Below are 15,773 nucleotides of genomic sequence, written 5' to 3' on the forward strand. Positions count from 1 at the left end.
TAGTATTTAGTATAGTAGCATGCTGACAGTTTTGTAGCCTAGGAGCAGTAGGCTCTACCATATAGCCTAGGCGTGTAGTAGGCTGTGCCATCTAAGTTTGTGTAAAACATTCTGATATTCACACAATGATGAAACTGCCTGAGGATGCATTCTCAGAATGTATTTCTGTCATTTTAAGTGATGCATGACTGTACCACTAGCTCTTGGTATTCTAACTGAATTTTCATAGATATTCCTGAATAGATATTTTTTTGCTGTTTGCCCTTAGGACCATTTCAGAGGCTATAAAAATGGCTGTTTTAAACATAACTTCTATCAGTTTCCCTGGTGAGTAGGCCTGTGGAACTTCTCACCTTGTCTTGTCAGAAGTTGATCTCCCTCTGGACTAGAATTTTAGCTTTTTTTGTAGTAATAATTAGTATCTTAGCCTTATTTAGGATTTCATAGCTTTCAGGTACATAATCATGCCAATAAATCTGAAAACCTAAGAGGAGATGGGAGAATTCCTTGAAATAAACAGCTTTCTGAAACTGACACAAGAAGAAACAAAAATCTGAATAGTTATGTATCTCTTTGACTGATTCCTAATTTAAAACCCCAACAGGGAAATTACAAGAAAATTATAGACCAATATCCCTTATGAACATAGATTTTTTTAAAGTTGTATACAAAATATTAACAAATTGAATTTGAAATATATAAATAGAATGAGATATTTTGATAATGTGGGATTTATGCCAGGAATGCAAGGCTGGTTTTACATTAAAAAAATGATTTGTTACATAAATAGAATAAAATAAAAATTATCACTTCAACATAAATAGAGAAAATAGAAAGTTCCTTCTCTGTATAGTTGCCTTCTGTTTAGTACTTTCCTATGCAAATCCTAGCCACCTCAGTAGCCCTATCTCTAGTCTTTATTTTGCTCATTAAATCTGTTGTTCTTTTAGGGTTTCTTTTTCCTGTGCTTTCTCTCTCTGGAGAGCCCTAGCAGATAGGGAGCTGGTGCGATTGTGGGGCTTTGTTTTCCTTCCCACAGCGATCACAGTCCTGTACTGCCTGTTTTCTAGCATCTGAAAACAATTGTTTTATATATTTTGTTCAGTTTTTAGTAGTTTACAGTGGAAAGGATAGTCTTCTGGAAGAAGTCTTGCCCACACTTTTTGTCATTCTTACCCAATAGGTATAAAGTGATGTATGACATTTCATGTATAAATTCGTGTATACTGTTTATACATACTTACATTTTTTTGGTTACCAGTGTGGTTGAATATCTTTTCATATACTTATCGGTCATTTATGTTTCATGTGACCTTTTTTTCCTATAGATTTTGGGTTTTTTTCTTAATGATTTGTAGGTGTTCTTTTGTACATTCTGTATACCAATTTCTTGTCCACATTTAATTTTTTAGTTCTTTCGGAACTAATTTTTGTGTGTGAAGGAAGGATCTAATTTTAATTTTTTTCATATGAGTAGCTGGAATAATTTATTGAACTTTAAATATTTCCTACTGACTTTAAAAAAAAAAACACCAACCGTATTATATACTAACCTTTTGTATGTGTACACTGGCATGTTTCTAAGTGCCTTATTTTTTTTTCCTCAGTGGTCTGTGAATTCCTGCACAACACCATGTGGTTTTAATTACTAAATGTGGTAAGATGACTCTTCCCTTCTTCATGTTAAAAATCATCTTGGCTATTCTTGGCACTTTATTTTTCCAGACGCATTTTTAAGAACAACTCTAATGGTTCCACCAAAATACCCTATTGAGAATTTAATCTGAATTGTATTCCTTGTATAGATTCATTGGGGGAAAACATTGATTCTTCTCATCCATGAATATAATATATCTCCATTTATTTATCTCTTTCATACATTTCAAGAATGTTTTATAATTATATTCATAAGAGCTTTGCTTGTTTTTCGTTAGACTTCTCAGATTCATTGCCCTTGGAACACAGTTACCATATTATGAGGGAGCTCAGACCGCATGGAGAGGCTATATGTTGGAGGTTCTGGTACTAGCCCCAGCTAGTCTGTCAGCCAAAAGCCAGCAACTACCAGACATAAGAGTTATTTAGCCTTCTCAGAATTCCATCCTCTAGTTTTCTAGTCCTTTAGCTGAGGCCTTAGACATCATGGAGCAGAGATAAGCTATCCCTGTTCTATCCTTTCTGAATCCCTGACACAAAGAAATTGAGAAAGGTAGTTTTTTTTTGTTGTTGTTGTTTTTTTAAGATGGGTTCTTAAAAAACCCATCTTAAACTCCAGTACTGTTGTCCAGGCTGGAGTGCATGATCACAGCTTATTGCAGCCTCAACCCTCTGGCCTCAAGCAGTCCTCCCACTTCAGCCTCCAAGTAGCTGGAACTACAGGTGTGTGCCACCAAGCCTATTTTTTTTTTTTTTTTTGAGATGGTGTCTCGCTGTGATGCCCAGGGTGAAGTGCAGTGGCTCAAGTCTCAGCTCACTGCAAACTCCACTTCCCGGGTTCAAGCGATTATCCTGCCTCAGTCTCCTGAGTAGCTGGGACTACAGGCACGTGCCACCATGCCTGGCTAATTTTTTTTTTTGTATTTTAGTAGAGATGAGGTTTCACCATATTGGCCAGGTTGGTCTCAACTCCTGACTTGAAGTGATCCGCCCACCTCAGCCTCCCGAAGTGTTGGGATTACAGGCATGAGCCACTGTGCCCAGCCAAGTGTAGCTAAATTTTAAATTTTTCGTAGAGACAAGTTCTTGCTGTGTTGCCCAAGTTGGTCTTCAACTCCTGGGCTCAAGCAGTTCTCCTGCCTCAGCCTCCCAAAGTGTTGGGATTACAGGCATAAGCCACCACGCCCAGCCTAATAATTGTTTTAAGCCACAGAATTTTGGGATAATTTGTTACTAAGAATAGAAAATGAATACCCCAGGCATCATTATGCTTATGTTATGATTTGGCTTGTTTTATAACTTTTCCTATGGGAACACATAATCAGAATATTCTAATATAGTATATGGGGAATAGTTTCTCATCCTGAATTAATAAATTAGTATTTATTACTGTCTTATGAGCTTGGAGAATTTGTATTTGTATTATGTATGATTTTTAAAAACATACCTGAGTTTGTAAGGCAGAGGAATAGACTCAGACATTGAAAATTCATCATGAACACTATGCTTCTTGGGAAACTGGACTTACTGTCTATTGAGAGTGTACTAACATCCCTGTGTGGTTGAGAATGAGGTTTCATTTTCCATGACATTTCTGTAGTCAGATATATATTACACAGAGTTATAACACCCAAACTTGTCTTAAAGACCTCTTAATTTAGTTGTACAGTCTTCCTAAGTAGGTTTCATAAATCGACATTAAAGAACATAATGTAAAACTTCTTTGCAACATTTTCCTAAAGATTCTAATTTACTTCGAAAAATTCTCACAAAGTTTGCTAATATTGAATGAGTCATTGAAATAAGCCAGGCTATATACTCAACTATGTAGATTTTATTATTTCTCTGATATTTTAATTTTATGTAAATATGAAGTATACATACAAGTACATCTCATTGTATTGTGCTTCACTGTATTGCATTTCCCAGATATTGTGTGTTTTATTTTTTTAAAACAAATGGAAGGTTTTTGGCAAACCTGCATTGAGCAAGTCTGTTGGTCCCATTTTTCCAATAGCATGTGCTCGCTTTGTGTCTCTGTGTCACATTTTGGAGATTCTCTCAATATATATCTGTTATGATCGCCTCCAATTAGTGATCTTTAATGTTACTATTGTAATTGTTTTGGGGCATCATGAACCATAGCCATATAAGATGTCACACTTAATCAGTAGGTGTTGTTTGTGTTCTGATGGCTCCACCAACTGGCCATTTCCTGGTCTTTCTTCCTCTCCTTGGGCCTCCCTATTCCCTGAGACACAACAAAATTGAGATTAGGCCAATTAAATACCTCTGCAATGGCTGCTAAGTGTTGAAGTGAAAGGAAGAGTCTCACACCTCACTTTAAATCAGAAGCTAGAAATGATTAAGCTTAGTGAGGAAGGCATGTTGAAAGCTGTGATTGGCCAAAAGCTAGGCCTCTTGTACCAAACAGCCAAGTTGTGAATGCAAAGGAAGAGCTCTTGAAGGACATTAAAAGTGCTACTCCAGTGACCGCATGAATGATAGGAAAGCAAAACAGCCTTATTGTTGATTTGGAGAAAGTTTGAGTGGTCTGAATAGAAGATCAAACAGCCATAACATTTCCTTAAGCCAAAGCCTAATCCAGAACATGTCTAAAAATGCCCTTCCTGAACCTCTGTACTTAATTGATAGTTGACTAGTTACAGAGTTCTAGACTGGCATTAGAATTCTAATAGGATAGCCCCATTATCTTCTGGCATGACTTCTGCTGATAAGAAATTCCATGGATATTTAACCTTTGTGGGTGACTTTTTTTTTTTTTTTTTTTTTTTTTTAATCTGAAAGCTTTTATTCTTCTCTCCTGGGCATCTGAATTTTCAGTAATGTGCTAAATTATCCCTTTGGGATCATGTATTTCTCTGTATTTGGTTTTATGTCATGTTGCAGTCTCTGGCGATCCTTTATTTTCCATTAATATGTATGGATAAACAAAAAATTACTGTAAGAGTTGGTTGGGGCTTATTGATTATCTGGTTTTGTTTAGAGTAATTGGTTAGGGATCTAGTTACATGCTGGAATGTAGGAACCTCCTCTGGCACTGTTCAGTTTCTTTAGGGAAGAACCTTCTAATTTTCTTTTGTCTGAAGCGTGAATGCTTGACTGTCTTTTGGAGTGGGATGGTAGACTCTTCAGCAAGTCCAGACTTTTATTTAATCCCCCATTTCAGTTCATGTCTTAATCCTTTCCACTGTTTCACTAGATATTTCTTAATCTTGAACTAATCTGAAGTTCTGTAGGACCCTTGCCTGTATTCCCCCTTTTTATTCTAGGACTTGACTTCCTCTTAGTTTTGCCAGTTACCACTTCTCTACCTACTTTGAGTTTTCGCTGAAATTTGTTGAAGTCTCTTGCCTATGGGCCTATTTTTCTGTTCTCTGTTATTGTGGGTTTTTATCTCTTTTTTTTGGTGGGGGGTCTACTCTCATTTTAGAGGGAAGGGGAGAAAAACAAAATTGCCATTTTTAACTGATATGTACTGTGAATCTCTAATGGGTAACGATTTAGAATACAGCTTTTAAAGGAACATTTGATATTTCAAAAACAGTATTCTCATACCCAGCTTCAGTACAAATTTGCTTTATGATCTTGGGCATGCTGTGTAGTGTGGGATCCTGAAGTACTTCACATACTGTAAAGCAGTGGTTTTCAAACTCGTTTTCACTGCAGACTATAGTGAGAAACACATTTTACTTCATAACTTACATACTTCCATGACATAATATCCTTACGTGCAATACACTCTGATTTTTTTTTTTTAAACTCTTGATTGTGACCCACTAACTTGATCTTACTGCCCACCAATGGCGTGCAACCTACACTTTGAAAAACAGTATACTAGAGCAGTATTTCTTAAAAGTGTGAGCCAGGGCCAGGTTCAGTGGCTTACGCCTGTAATCCCAGCATTTTAGGAGGCCGAGGCAGGCGGATCACAAAGTCAGGAGTTCGAGACCAGTCTGGCCAAGATGGTGAAACCTCGTCTCTACTAAAAATACAAAAATTAGCTGAGTGTGGTGGTGGGCGCCTGTAGTCCCAGCTACTTGGGAGGCTGAGGCAGGAGAATCGCTTGAACCTGGGAGGCAGAGGTTGCAGTGAGCTGAGACTCAATCTCAAAAAAAAAATTAAAAAAAAAAGTGTGAGCCAAATATATTTTCAAGTTGAGTATTGAAAAAGACGTAAGAATTTGGGAAAAACCTAGCGGGGCTTTTGTGAGTTTTAAAAGGTATGTTAATAATCCTCCAAAGATGAAATTGTGCCTTTCCCTAGAGTTATCTTGAGTCACCCTTGGCCCTTGGCTTGAGGCCATGCAGGGATTTTTACAGTGTTGAGAATTATCTTTAGTGAGATCAAGTGGCAGTCATAATAAATTGAAGTACAGTTTAAAATGTGCTTTAAAAACACATCTTTTAGTCAAATTTAAATTAATTATGTATTTAGCAAAGCAAGGCATATCTGTTTTTTTTTTAAGGTAATTCCTAGATTGTGCAGTTTGTTGTACCTTTCATAATATTCATGCAGAGCTTTTTATATTGTGGATTTAGTGATATTTTCTAGAAGAATGCTGCTTTTAAATTTTTTTATTTTTTATTTTTGGAAGAATGCTTTTAGTAAATCCTTAGCTCTGATGCTGAAGAGATGACTACAAGTTGATACTGCAGGTTATTACATATATTAAGTGCATAGTCAAATTTCCTTGAGGCAACAAAAAGACTTAAGGCATTTGAAATTGTTAAATATGGTATACCATGATAGTAGATAGTAGTCTGAATTGCTCCTTGGTTAATACTTGGGAAGATCAAAATACAGTTGGCCCTCCATATCTGTGGGTTCCACATCTGTGGATTCAACCAACCTTGGATCAAAAATACTCCAGGGAAGGGAGGAAGAATCTATACAGACTATGTAGAGACTTTTTTTTCAGGTCATTATTCCTTAAATAATATAACAACTGTTTACATAGCATTTACATTGTATTAGGTATAAGTAATATAGACATGATTTAAAGTATACAGGAGGCTATGCATAGGTTAATGCAAATACTAGACCATTTTACATAAGGGACTTGAGCATCCTCAGATTTTTGTATCTGGGGGAGTCCAGGAACTTGTCCCCATGGATAATGCAGATCAACTGTATACTTATAAATTTATGTGTAGGACATTCTCTTCATTTAAATAGAGGTCACTAGGACCTTAAATACTCATCTCTTATTTACTCATTTATTTATACATTTTGGAAGAAATCAGCATCCATTTGAAACAGATATATGTCATCAGTTCAAGAAAACCTGGTTAAAATTGCCCCAACAAAAACTTGGACCTCTTGTAATAATTAAATTCAGAGTGACTGAGCAAACTACTGTGTTGTAGTACTCAGGGCATGATCCAAAAGGTACCTTGTCAGCCACAACTCTAGTTGCTGATGATGCAGTGCTATAAGGTGTTGTGAATTTTTCCTGTGAACTTGTTTGTTTCTAAAGATGTTTTCATTTTTAAACCTTTAAGTGAAATTCTGATAGAAAATATCAGCATCTCTTGCAGGGAGAATGCCAGGTGAGCAAGTTGTCACCGTAGGAATCAGAATGGACGTTATCATCCGTAGTGAGAATGGCAAATGGATAATCAACATCAGCCCAATTGCCAGACTAAAACATCATTATGACAGACTTCATTTGCAAGAATTCTTAAAACGGAGAAGCTGAAGAATAAAGTGGCCAGTGCAGATATTGTCTGTGCTTTTTACATTTAACAGATTTATTATGTGTTCTTTTTGTTTTCTTTTCTTTTTTTTTTTTTTTTTTTGAGACGGAGTTTTGCTCTTGTTGCCCAGGCTGGAGTGCAATGGCGCGATCTCGGCTCACTGCACCCTCTGCCTCCCGGGTTCAAGCGATTCTCCTGTCTCAGTCTCCCGAGTAGCTGGGATTACAGGTGTGCGCCACTACACCCGGCTAATTTTTTTGTATTTTTAGTAGAGGTGGGGTTTCACCATGTTGGCCAGGCTGGTCTCAAATTCCTGACCTCAGGTGATCCGCCCGTCTCAGCCTTCCAAAGTGCTGGGATTACAGGCATGAGCCACTGTGCCCAGCCTATGTGTTCTTTTTCTTACAGATTGTTTTTTTTTTTTTTTTTTTTTATTGATCATTCTTGGGTGTTTCTCGCAGAGGGGGATTTGGCAGGGTCACAGGACAATAGTGGAGGGAAGGTCAGCAGATAAGTGAACAAAGGTCTCTGGTTTTCCTAGGCAGAGGACCCTGCGGCCTTCCGCAGTGTTTGTGTCCCTGGGTACTTGAGATTAGGGAGTGGTGATGACTCTTAACGAGCATGCTGCCTTCAAGCATCTGTTTAACAAATCACATCTTGCACCACCCTTAATCCATTCAACCCTGAGTGGACACAGCACATGTTTCAGAGAGCACAGGGTTGGGGGTAAGGTCACAGATCAACGGGATCCCAAGGCAGAAGAATGTTTCTTAGTACAGAACAAAATCAAAAGTCTCCCATGTCTACCTCTTTCTACACAGACATGGCAACCATCCGATTTCTCAATCTTTTCCCCACCTTTCCCCCCTTTCTATTCCACAAAACCGCCATTGTCATCATGGCCCGTTCTCAATGAGCTGTTGAGTACACCTCCCAGACGGGGTGGTGGCTGGACAGAGGGGCTCCTCACTTCCCAGTAGGGGCGGCCGGGCAGAGGCGCCCCTCACCTCCCAGACGGGGCGGCTGTCCGGGCGGGGGGCTGACCCCCCCGCCTCCCTCCCGGACGGGGCAGCTGGCCGGGCGGGGGGCTGACCTCCCTGCCTCCCTCCCCGCCTCCCTCCCGGATGGGGCGGCTGGCCGGGCGGGGGGCTGACCCCCCCACCTCCCTCCCGGATGGGGCGGCTGGCCGGGCAGAGGGGCTCCTCTCTTCCCAGTAGGGGCGGCCGGGCAGAGGCGCCCCTCACCTCCCGGATGGTGCGGCTGGCCGGGCGGGGGGCTGACCCCCCCACCTCCCTCCTGGACGGGGCGGCTGGCCGGGCAGAGGGGCTCCTCACTTCCCAGTAGGGGCGGCCAGGTAGAGGCGCCCCTCACCTCCCGGACGGGGCGGCTGGCCGGGCGGGGGGCTGACCCCCCCGCCTCCCTCCCGGACGGGGCGGCTGGCCGGGCAGAGGGGCTCCTCACTTCCCAATAGGGGCGGCCAGGTAGAGGCGCCCCTCACCTCCCGGACGGGGCGGCTGGCCGGGCGGGGGGCTGACCCCCCCGCCTCCCTCCCGGACGGGGCGGCTGGCCGGGCAGAGGGGCTCCTCTCTTCCCAGTAGGGGCGGCCGGCAGAGGCGCCCCTCACCTCCTGGATGGGGCGGCTGGCCAGGCGGGGGGCTGACCCCCCCACATCCTTCCCAGACGGGGCGGCTGGCCGGGCAGAGGGGCTCCTCACTTCCCAGTAGGGGCGGCCGGGCAGAGGCGCCCCTCACCTCCCGGACGGGGCGGCTGGCCGGGCGAGGGGCTGACCCCCCCACCTCCCTTCCGGACGGGGCGGCTGGCCGGGCGGGGGGCTGACCCCCACCTCCCTCCCAGACGGGGTGGCTGCCAGGCGGAGACGCTCCTCACTTCCCAGACGGAGTGGCTGCCGGGCGGAGGGGCTCCTCACTTCTCAGACGGTGTGGCTGCCGGGCGGAGGGGCTCCTCACTTCTCAGACGGGGCGGTTGCCAGGCAGAGGGTCTCCTCACTTCTCAGACGGGGCGGCCGGGCAGAGACGCTCCTCACATCCCAGACAGGGTGGCAGGGCAGAGGTGCTCCCCACATCTCAGACGATGGGCGGCCTGGCAGAGATGCTCCTCACTTCCTAGATGGGATGGCGGCCGGGCAGAGACACTCCTCACTTTCCAGACTGGGCAGCCAGGCAGAGAGGCTCCTCACATCCCAGACGATGGGCGGCCAGGCAGAGACGCTCCTCACTTCCCAGACGGGGTGGCCGCCGGGCAGAGGCTGCAATCTCGGCACTTTGCGGGGCCAAGGCAGGCAGCTGGGAGGTGGAGGTTGTAGCGAGCCGAGATCATGCCACTGCACTCCAGCCTGGGCACCATTGAGCACTGAGTGAACGCGACTCCGTCTGCCATCCCGGCACCTCGGGAGGCCCAGGCTGGCGGATCACTCGCGGTTAGGAGCTGGAGACCAGCCCGGCCAACACAGCGAAACCCCGTCTCCACCAAAAAAATACGAAAACCAGTCAGGCGTGGCGGCGCGCGCCTGCAATCGCAGGCACTCGGCAGGCTGAGGCAGGAGAATCAGGCAGGGAGGTTGCAGTGAGCCGAGATGGCAGCAGTACAGTCCAGCTTTGGCTCAGCATCAGGGGGAGACCGTGGAAAGAGAGGGAGAGGGAGACCGTGGGGAGAGGGAGACTGTGGGGAGAGGGAGAGGGAGAGGGAGAGGAGGGAGAGGGAGAGGGAGAGGAGGGAGAGGGAGAGGAGGGAGAGGGAGAGCTTCTTACAGATTGTTACTCATGTTTATAAAATATAGCAAGAAGACAGGCTGATCTTTTTTCAACCTATTTATATTTTCTGCTCTTTTTTCTTACGAGAAAATTCAGTGTTACTCTTTCACAAATGTACCAGAGTTGGGACATATTAATTACATCTACAAATGCAAAATATTTCATAATTTTTTAAATAATGAAAACCATGATTACCATCTTTTGTTACAGGATAACTACTATAAAAATGTTTTTGACCTATATAAAAATGTTGCATGTCTTGAACCTACAAGTAGGCCAGCCAGCAGTACATGACAGCAGCTTCGCTTCTCTCATTTAACCGTTTACAGTATGGCCTACTCTTCACAACTGTTTTACCTTAGCTGCCAAGAAACTTAGTAAAAACAAAAGCCCTTAAATATAGCAGTGAAATATCTTGTAAAGCTTTCTTGCATTTAATTAATTCTCATTTTATTTATTTATTTATTTATTTATTTATTTATTTATTTCATTCTTTTGAGATGGAGTCTCGCTCTGTCGCCCAGGCTGGAGTGCAGTAGTGGGATCTGGGCTCACTGCAAGCTCCGCCTCCCAGGTTCACACCATTCTCCTGCCTCAGCCTCCCGAGTAGCTGGGACTGCAGGTGCCTGCCACCATGCCCGGCTAATTTTTTTGTGTTTTTAGTAGAGACGGTGTTTCACCGTGTTAGCCAGGATGGTCTCGATCTCCTGACCTCGTGATCTGCCCGCCTCAGCCTCCCAAAGTGCTGGGATTACAGGCGTGAGCCACTGTGCCCAGCCCTCATTTCATTTTTAATTTTTCTGTTTATATTTAATCTTGTAAGCACTCTTGAATTACCTTTGATTCCAGATTGTGTGGAGAATAGTCAGTATATATGTGGTAAATATATACTGTGGTTGTACCTTTTCCATTTTGCCTGATAGCATTACTTTCTGTGTTCTGTATCTGGCCTTCTCAACTTGCTTCTAATCTTTTGAAGACAGGAAATCATCTCTCAGAATTCGCTTCAAAGGATTGTGTGAAATTAGTGCATATAAAACACTTAGAATTGTCTTTGGAATGAAGTACTAACGTTAGCAGTAGTACTGTATTTTAATACGTAGCACAGCAGACTGCTCAATAGACATTATATACTTAATGGGTAGGGTTTATTAGGAAAAGATCTTTCTATATCATAATACCTAAAAATAATCAAGAATTGGAAACTTCTGTTTTAACCCAGAGCCAATGGAGTTGTAACATTAACTGCTTCTAAATACTTCTAATGTTTGGGAAAATTCAGATGTGACCTATCCCACCCAAGCATTATGTAATGCTGGGATATAGTTCTGGGGGAGAAAAAACAAAAACAAATTTAAATGCATCTTTTAGGCTAAGAAATGGATTACTGAATGGATAAGCTATGAAAAACATTAATTTCTTTCTAGAGGAGACCCAGGAGTTAGGTGCCCAGAGAAAGTCTTTTTTAAAAAATGTGTAACATGGGGCTGGGCACGGTGGCTCACGCCTGTAATCCCAGCACTTTGGGAGGCCGAGGTGGGTGGATCACGAGGTCAGGAGATCGAGACCAGCCTGACCAACATGGTGAAACCCCGTCTCTACTAAAAATAGAAAAATTAGCCGGGTGTGGTGGTGAGTGCCTGTAATCCCAGCTACTTGGGAGGCTGAGGCAGGAGAATCTCTTGAACCTGGGAGGCGGAGTTTGCAGTGAGCAGAGATTGTACCACTGCACTCCAGCCTGGGCGACAGAACAAGACTCCATCTCAAAAAAAAAAAAAATGTGTAACATGTTCTTAAACCTACTACGATTATGCTTAACGATGGGGCTATGTAATGAGAAATTCATCATTAGACAAATTTGTCATTGTGCGAACATCATAGAGTATACTTCCACAAACTTAAATGGTATAGTTTACTACACATCTAGGCTGTGTACAAACCTGTACAGCATGTTACTGTTCTGAATACTGTAGGCAGTTTGCAAAAGGAAGTGTATGTGTGTCTAAACAAGAAAAGGTACAGTAAAAATAGGTTTATATGGGACCACCATCACATAAGCAGTCTGTTGTTGACAAAACTTTGTTATGTGGCGCATGACTGTATTTTCCAATCCTGAAAGTCATTTTGTGTCTTCTTTTTTGCTGGCCACAGGCTACTTAGCCTGTAGTGTTAGAAAAACATACTTTCCATTTGTATTTCACCTTGAAATATATGCACTCATCTTCATGATTGTTATCTCAATCCATTTAATTCTACCATCAAGGTAGATTGTTGATAAAAATGGTCATTATGATTAATTTTTTTTTTTTTTTTGAGACAGAGTCTTCTTGCTCTGTCCCCCAGGCTGGAGTGCAGTGGCACAATCTGGGCTCACTGCAAGCTCTGCCTCCCGGGTTCACGCCATTCTTCTGCCTCAGCCTCCTGAGTAGCTGGGACTACAGGTGCCTGCCACCATGCCCGGCTAATTTTTTGTTACTTTTAGTAGAGACAGGGTTTCACCATGTTAGCTAGGATGGTCTTGATCTTCTTACCTTGTGATCCACCCACCTCGGCCTCCCAAAGTGCTGGGATTACAAGCATGAGCCACCGCACCTGGCATGATTAATTCTTAAACATAGCCATGTTGTAATAATTCATTATTTATGTCGCTGTTGATATCCAGCACCAATTTTGAACTTCTCCTTGTTCAGTAGACTGTATTTCAGTGCAGTATCTTATTCTTCAAATTCAGAGTTTTTTCAAGCATCAAATAAATATTTATTAACTCCTTATATACCCTACCCTAGATAAAAAAGAAATAAAAAGGAAACCCTGCTCAGTGAATAATCCTTCCCCTTGAGGAGCCTGAAATCTTTTGGTGGTTGATGAAAGAAACATCTGTTGAATATAGGCCTAAAGATAATGGGTACTCAAATACGTAATTGAAGTTGTGAACACTATAGATCATGAGAGATGGGAGAGATCATTGTATCCTGACCTACCTAAGGGAAATTTTGTGGAGAATGTGAGATTAAGTTTGTTCTTAAAGGGCAAGTAGGATATGGAAAGATAGGGGAGGAAATCTAGTGAAGTATTTCAGGTAGGGAAAAGACTTTGAACAAAGACACGGCCTTCAGAGAATAAGAGGGCTGGTTTCATTCACATTGAGGAGGTGGTAGTGGGAGGAAGGAGAGAATAGGACTGGCGGTATAAGGTGATCACATAATTGAAGTGGGATCTTGTGTGAGTTTGTATTACTATTAGCGTTAGGGAAAAAGGGCTAAAATATATCTTAAAACTCTTTTAGAACGCAGCCTCTCAAGATATGGCAACTGTTTCACCAAGTCATCATTATGGAATTTATATTAATTATAAAGATATATATTATAAAATAAAGCCATATATTAGGGATATAGATATCTTTGAAAATAGATAACTGTATAAAGATATTACTGAATAACTGAGAGAACTATGGGGATTTCCTGTACACTATGGATTGAGAAGGATTCTTATAGCCCACATAGTCAACATGTATCTCGTTTAGTGTGTAGTACATACATAAGCAGAGGTGTCCATCTTCTAATTTTCAAACTAAGTACCAATATCAAGCAGACATCTTTTTGTTAGTTGAAATAAATTATTAGCAGACATCATTTATTAATGAAAATTAAATGCACATAACCATTTTAACTTTAAGGGTAAAAAGCCCCAGAAGATTTAAGAAAAGGGCCATTCAAGATACAACTGATTTTACAGAGAAGAAGCAGATTCTGCTTAGAATGACTAATGGCCATTTTGGGATTAAAAAAAGGTAGTAAACATAAGACTGCTGGTTATGTGTAGCATGTATGTTGGCTAGTGGTTCATTTTCACCCCCAATAGAATGAATTTTAATTCTGGGATAAAGATAACTGTTTAGCATATTACTTAGTATTAAAAATAGTTGCAAATTCAATGTTTTTTTTTTTTTTAAGGATACATAAAAATATTCCCACTTAAGAACAGTTCCATAAAAGGTGATCCTGAATCAGGGTGAGGTGGCTCACACCTGTAATCCCAGCACTTTGGGAGGCCGAGGCAGGCGGATCATTTGAGGTCAGGAGTTTGAGGCCAGGCTGGCCAACATGGTGAAACTTCATCTCTATTAAAAAAAATACAAAAATTAGCTGGGCGTGGTGGTGCAGGCCTGTAATCCCAGCTACTTGGGAGGCTGAGGCAGGAAAATTGCATGAACCTGGGAGGCAGGGGTTGCAGTGAGCCAAGATCGCGCCACCACACTCTAGCCTGGGCAGTAGAGTGAGACTCCGTCTCAAAAAAAAAGTGACCCTGAATCAAAAACTTTACCAAATTGGTAGTAAAAAATGTCATATATGTCAATATTACATGGATTCTGAATGCCAATCTTAGGCTTATAGACTTTAACCTTCATAAAGCAGAGAGTCATTATTGATTCTGGAACAGGAAATGTTAATACAAGTTCTTTGTAAGTGTGGAGCTATCTTATTTTACTGGCATAGCCACAAATGAACTGCAGCAAATTCAAGTCTTCATATTTTTACTTCAAAAATCATGTGACTTTTGCTGTTCTTTGTAATATATCCACATTTGTTTTATTGTAAAATTATTTAATAATAATTGATCAATGAAAAGAATGTGCCTTATGTCTTGTGACTTTGTGTGAGCATGCTTAGAATACCTGACCTACTACGGTTCAGCAGTACCTTATCTAAATCAGCTTTTTTAAGGACAGCAACTTGAATATAATTGAAAGGTAATTTTACTAGCTTCCTGCCCTGGAGTAATTACGAAGCATAGGCATTCTTGATTAGGTTATCATCTTTATGAAGATTTCTGCCTGTATCTTTATATAAAGTATGTACTGGTTTTGAATAGAGGCATAGTTTTGTATATTATGAGATAAATATCAGAGTTGAATATGATTTTTAAAATTTACTTTCAGAAGTTCAGTAAACTTAAGTGATTGAACTAATTGAATTCCTTGTTTATAGAATGAAAGTTCGGAAGTGAAGTTTTATGGTTTTGAAGGTTAGAAACAAAAGGATTTAACATTTGTTAGAATCAAATCAATACAGTGTGTCCATATTTTTGTAATAAGTAGAATATAAAACAATAAACTTTTTAAATCGAGACTTGAGTCTCACTCTGTGGCCCAGGCTGGAGTGCAGTGGCGCTATCTCGGCTCATTGCAACCCCCACCTCCTGCGTTCCAGTGATTCTCCTTCCTCAGCCTTCCCAGTAGCTGGGATTACAGGCGCCCGCCACCACGTTTGGCTAATTTTTGTATTTTTAGTAGAGATGGGGTTTCACCATTTGGCTAGGCTGGTCTTGAACTCCTGACCTCAAGTCATCCGCCTGCCTCAGCCTTCCAAAGTGCTGGGATTACAGGCATGAGCCACCACACCGGCCCATTTTTTGAGTGCCTATTATATGCCAGGCATTGTATTAGATACTAGAAAGAGAAAGAGAAGTAGAGAGAGAGAAAGACAGAGATAATTAGATAAGTAAAACTTGGTTTCTGCATTGATTGATTGAGATGTTGTCTCTGTTGCCCAGGCTGGAATGCAGTGGTGCGATTTCGGCTCGCTGCAACCCCAGCCTCCTGGGTTCAAGCAATTCTCTTACCTCA

General features: G+C 41.8%; 1 protein-coding gene across 2 annotated transcripts in view, besides 3 other annotated features; it reads left to right on the forward strand.

The window, feature by feature from the left end:
* The window catches only part of PPP2R5A (protein phosphatase 2 regulatory subunit B'alpha), a 76,444-nt gene that overhangs the window by 26,750 nt on the left and 33,921 nt on the right, over positions 1-15,773 (forward strand). The window lies entirely within an intron of this gene.
* Positions 3,598-4,351: an enhancer, noted in NCBI's record as "OCT4-NANOG hESC enhancer chr1:212489099-212489852 (GRCh37/hg19 assembly coordinates)". NCBI's record gives its function as "activates a minimal SCP1, AML or CMV promoter by ChIP-STARR-seq in naive and primed H9 embryonic stem cells {active_cell/tissue: H9 hESC(naive and primed)}" and the evidence as "EXISTENCE:reporter gene assay evidence [ECO:0000049][PMID:30033119]".
* Positions 3,944-4,013: an enhancer, noted in NCBI's record as "active region_2503". NCBI's record gives its function as "activates an Ori minimal core promoter by ATAC-STARR-seq in GM12878 lymphoblastoid cells {active_cell/tissue: GM12878}" and the evidence as "EXISTENCE:reporter gene assay evidence [ECO:0000049][PMID:35858748]".
* Positions 7,751-8,347: an enhancer, noted in NCBI's record as "NANOG-H3K27ac-H3K4me1 hESC enhancer chr1:212493252-212493848 (GRCh37/hg19 assembly coordinates)". NCBI's record gives its function as "activates a minimal SCP1, AML or CMV promoter by ChIP-STARR-seq in naive H9 embryonic stem cells {active_cell/tissue: H9 hESC(naive)}" and the evidence as "EXISTENCE:reporter gene assay evidence [ECO:0000049][PMID:30033119]".

Source organism: Homo sapiens, chromosome 1 (genome assembly GCF_000001405.40).
Source record: "Homo sapiens chromosome 1, GRCh38.p14 Primary Assembly".
Classification (NCBI taxonomy): domain Eukaryota; kingdom Metazoa; phylum Chordata; class Mammalia; order Primates; family Hominidae; genus Homo; species Homo sapiens.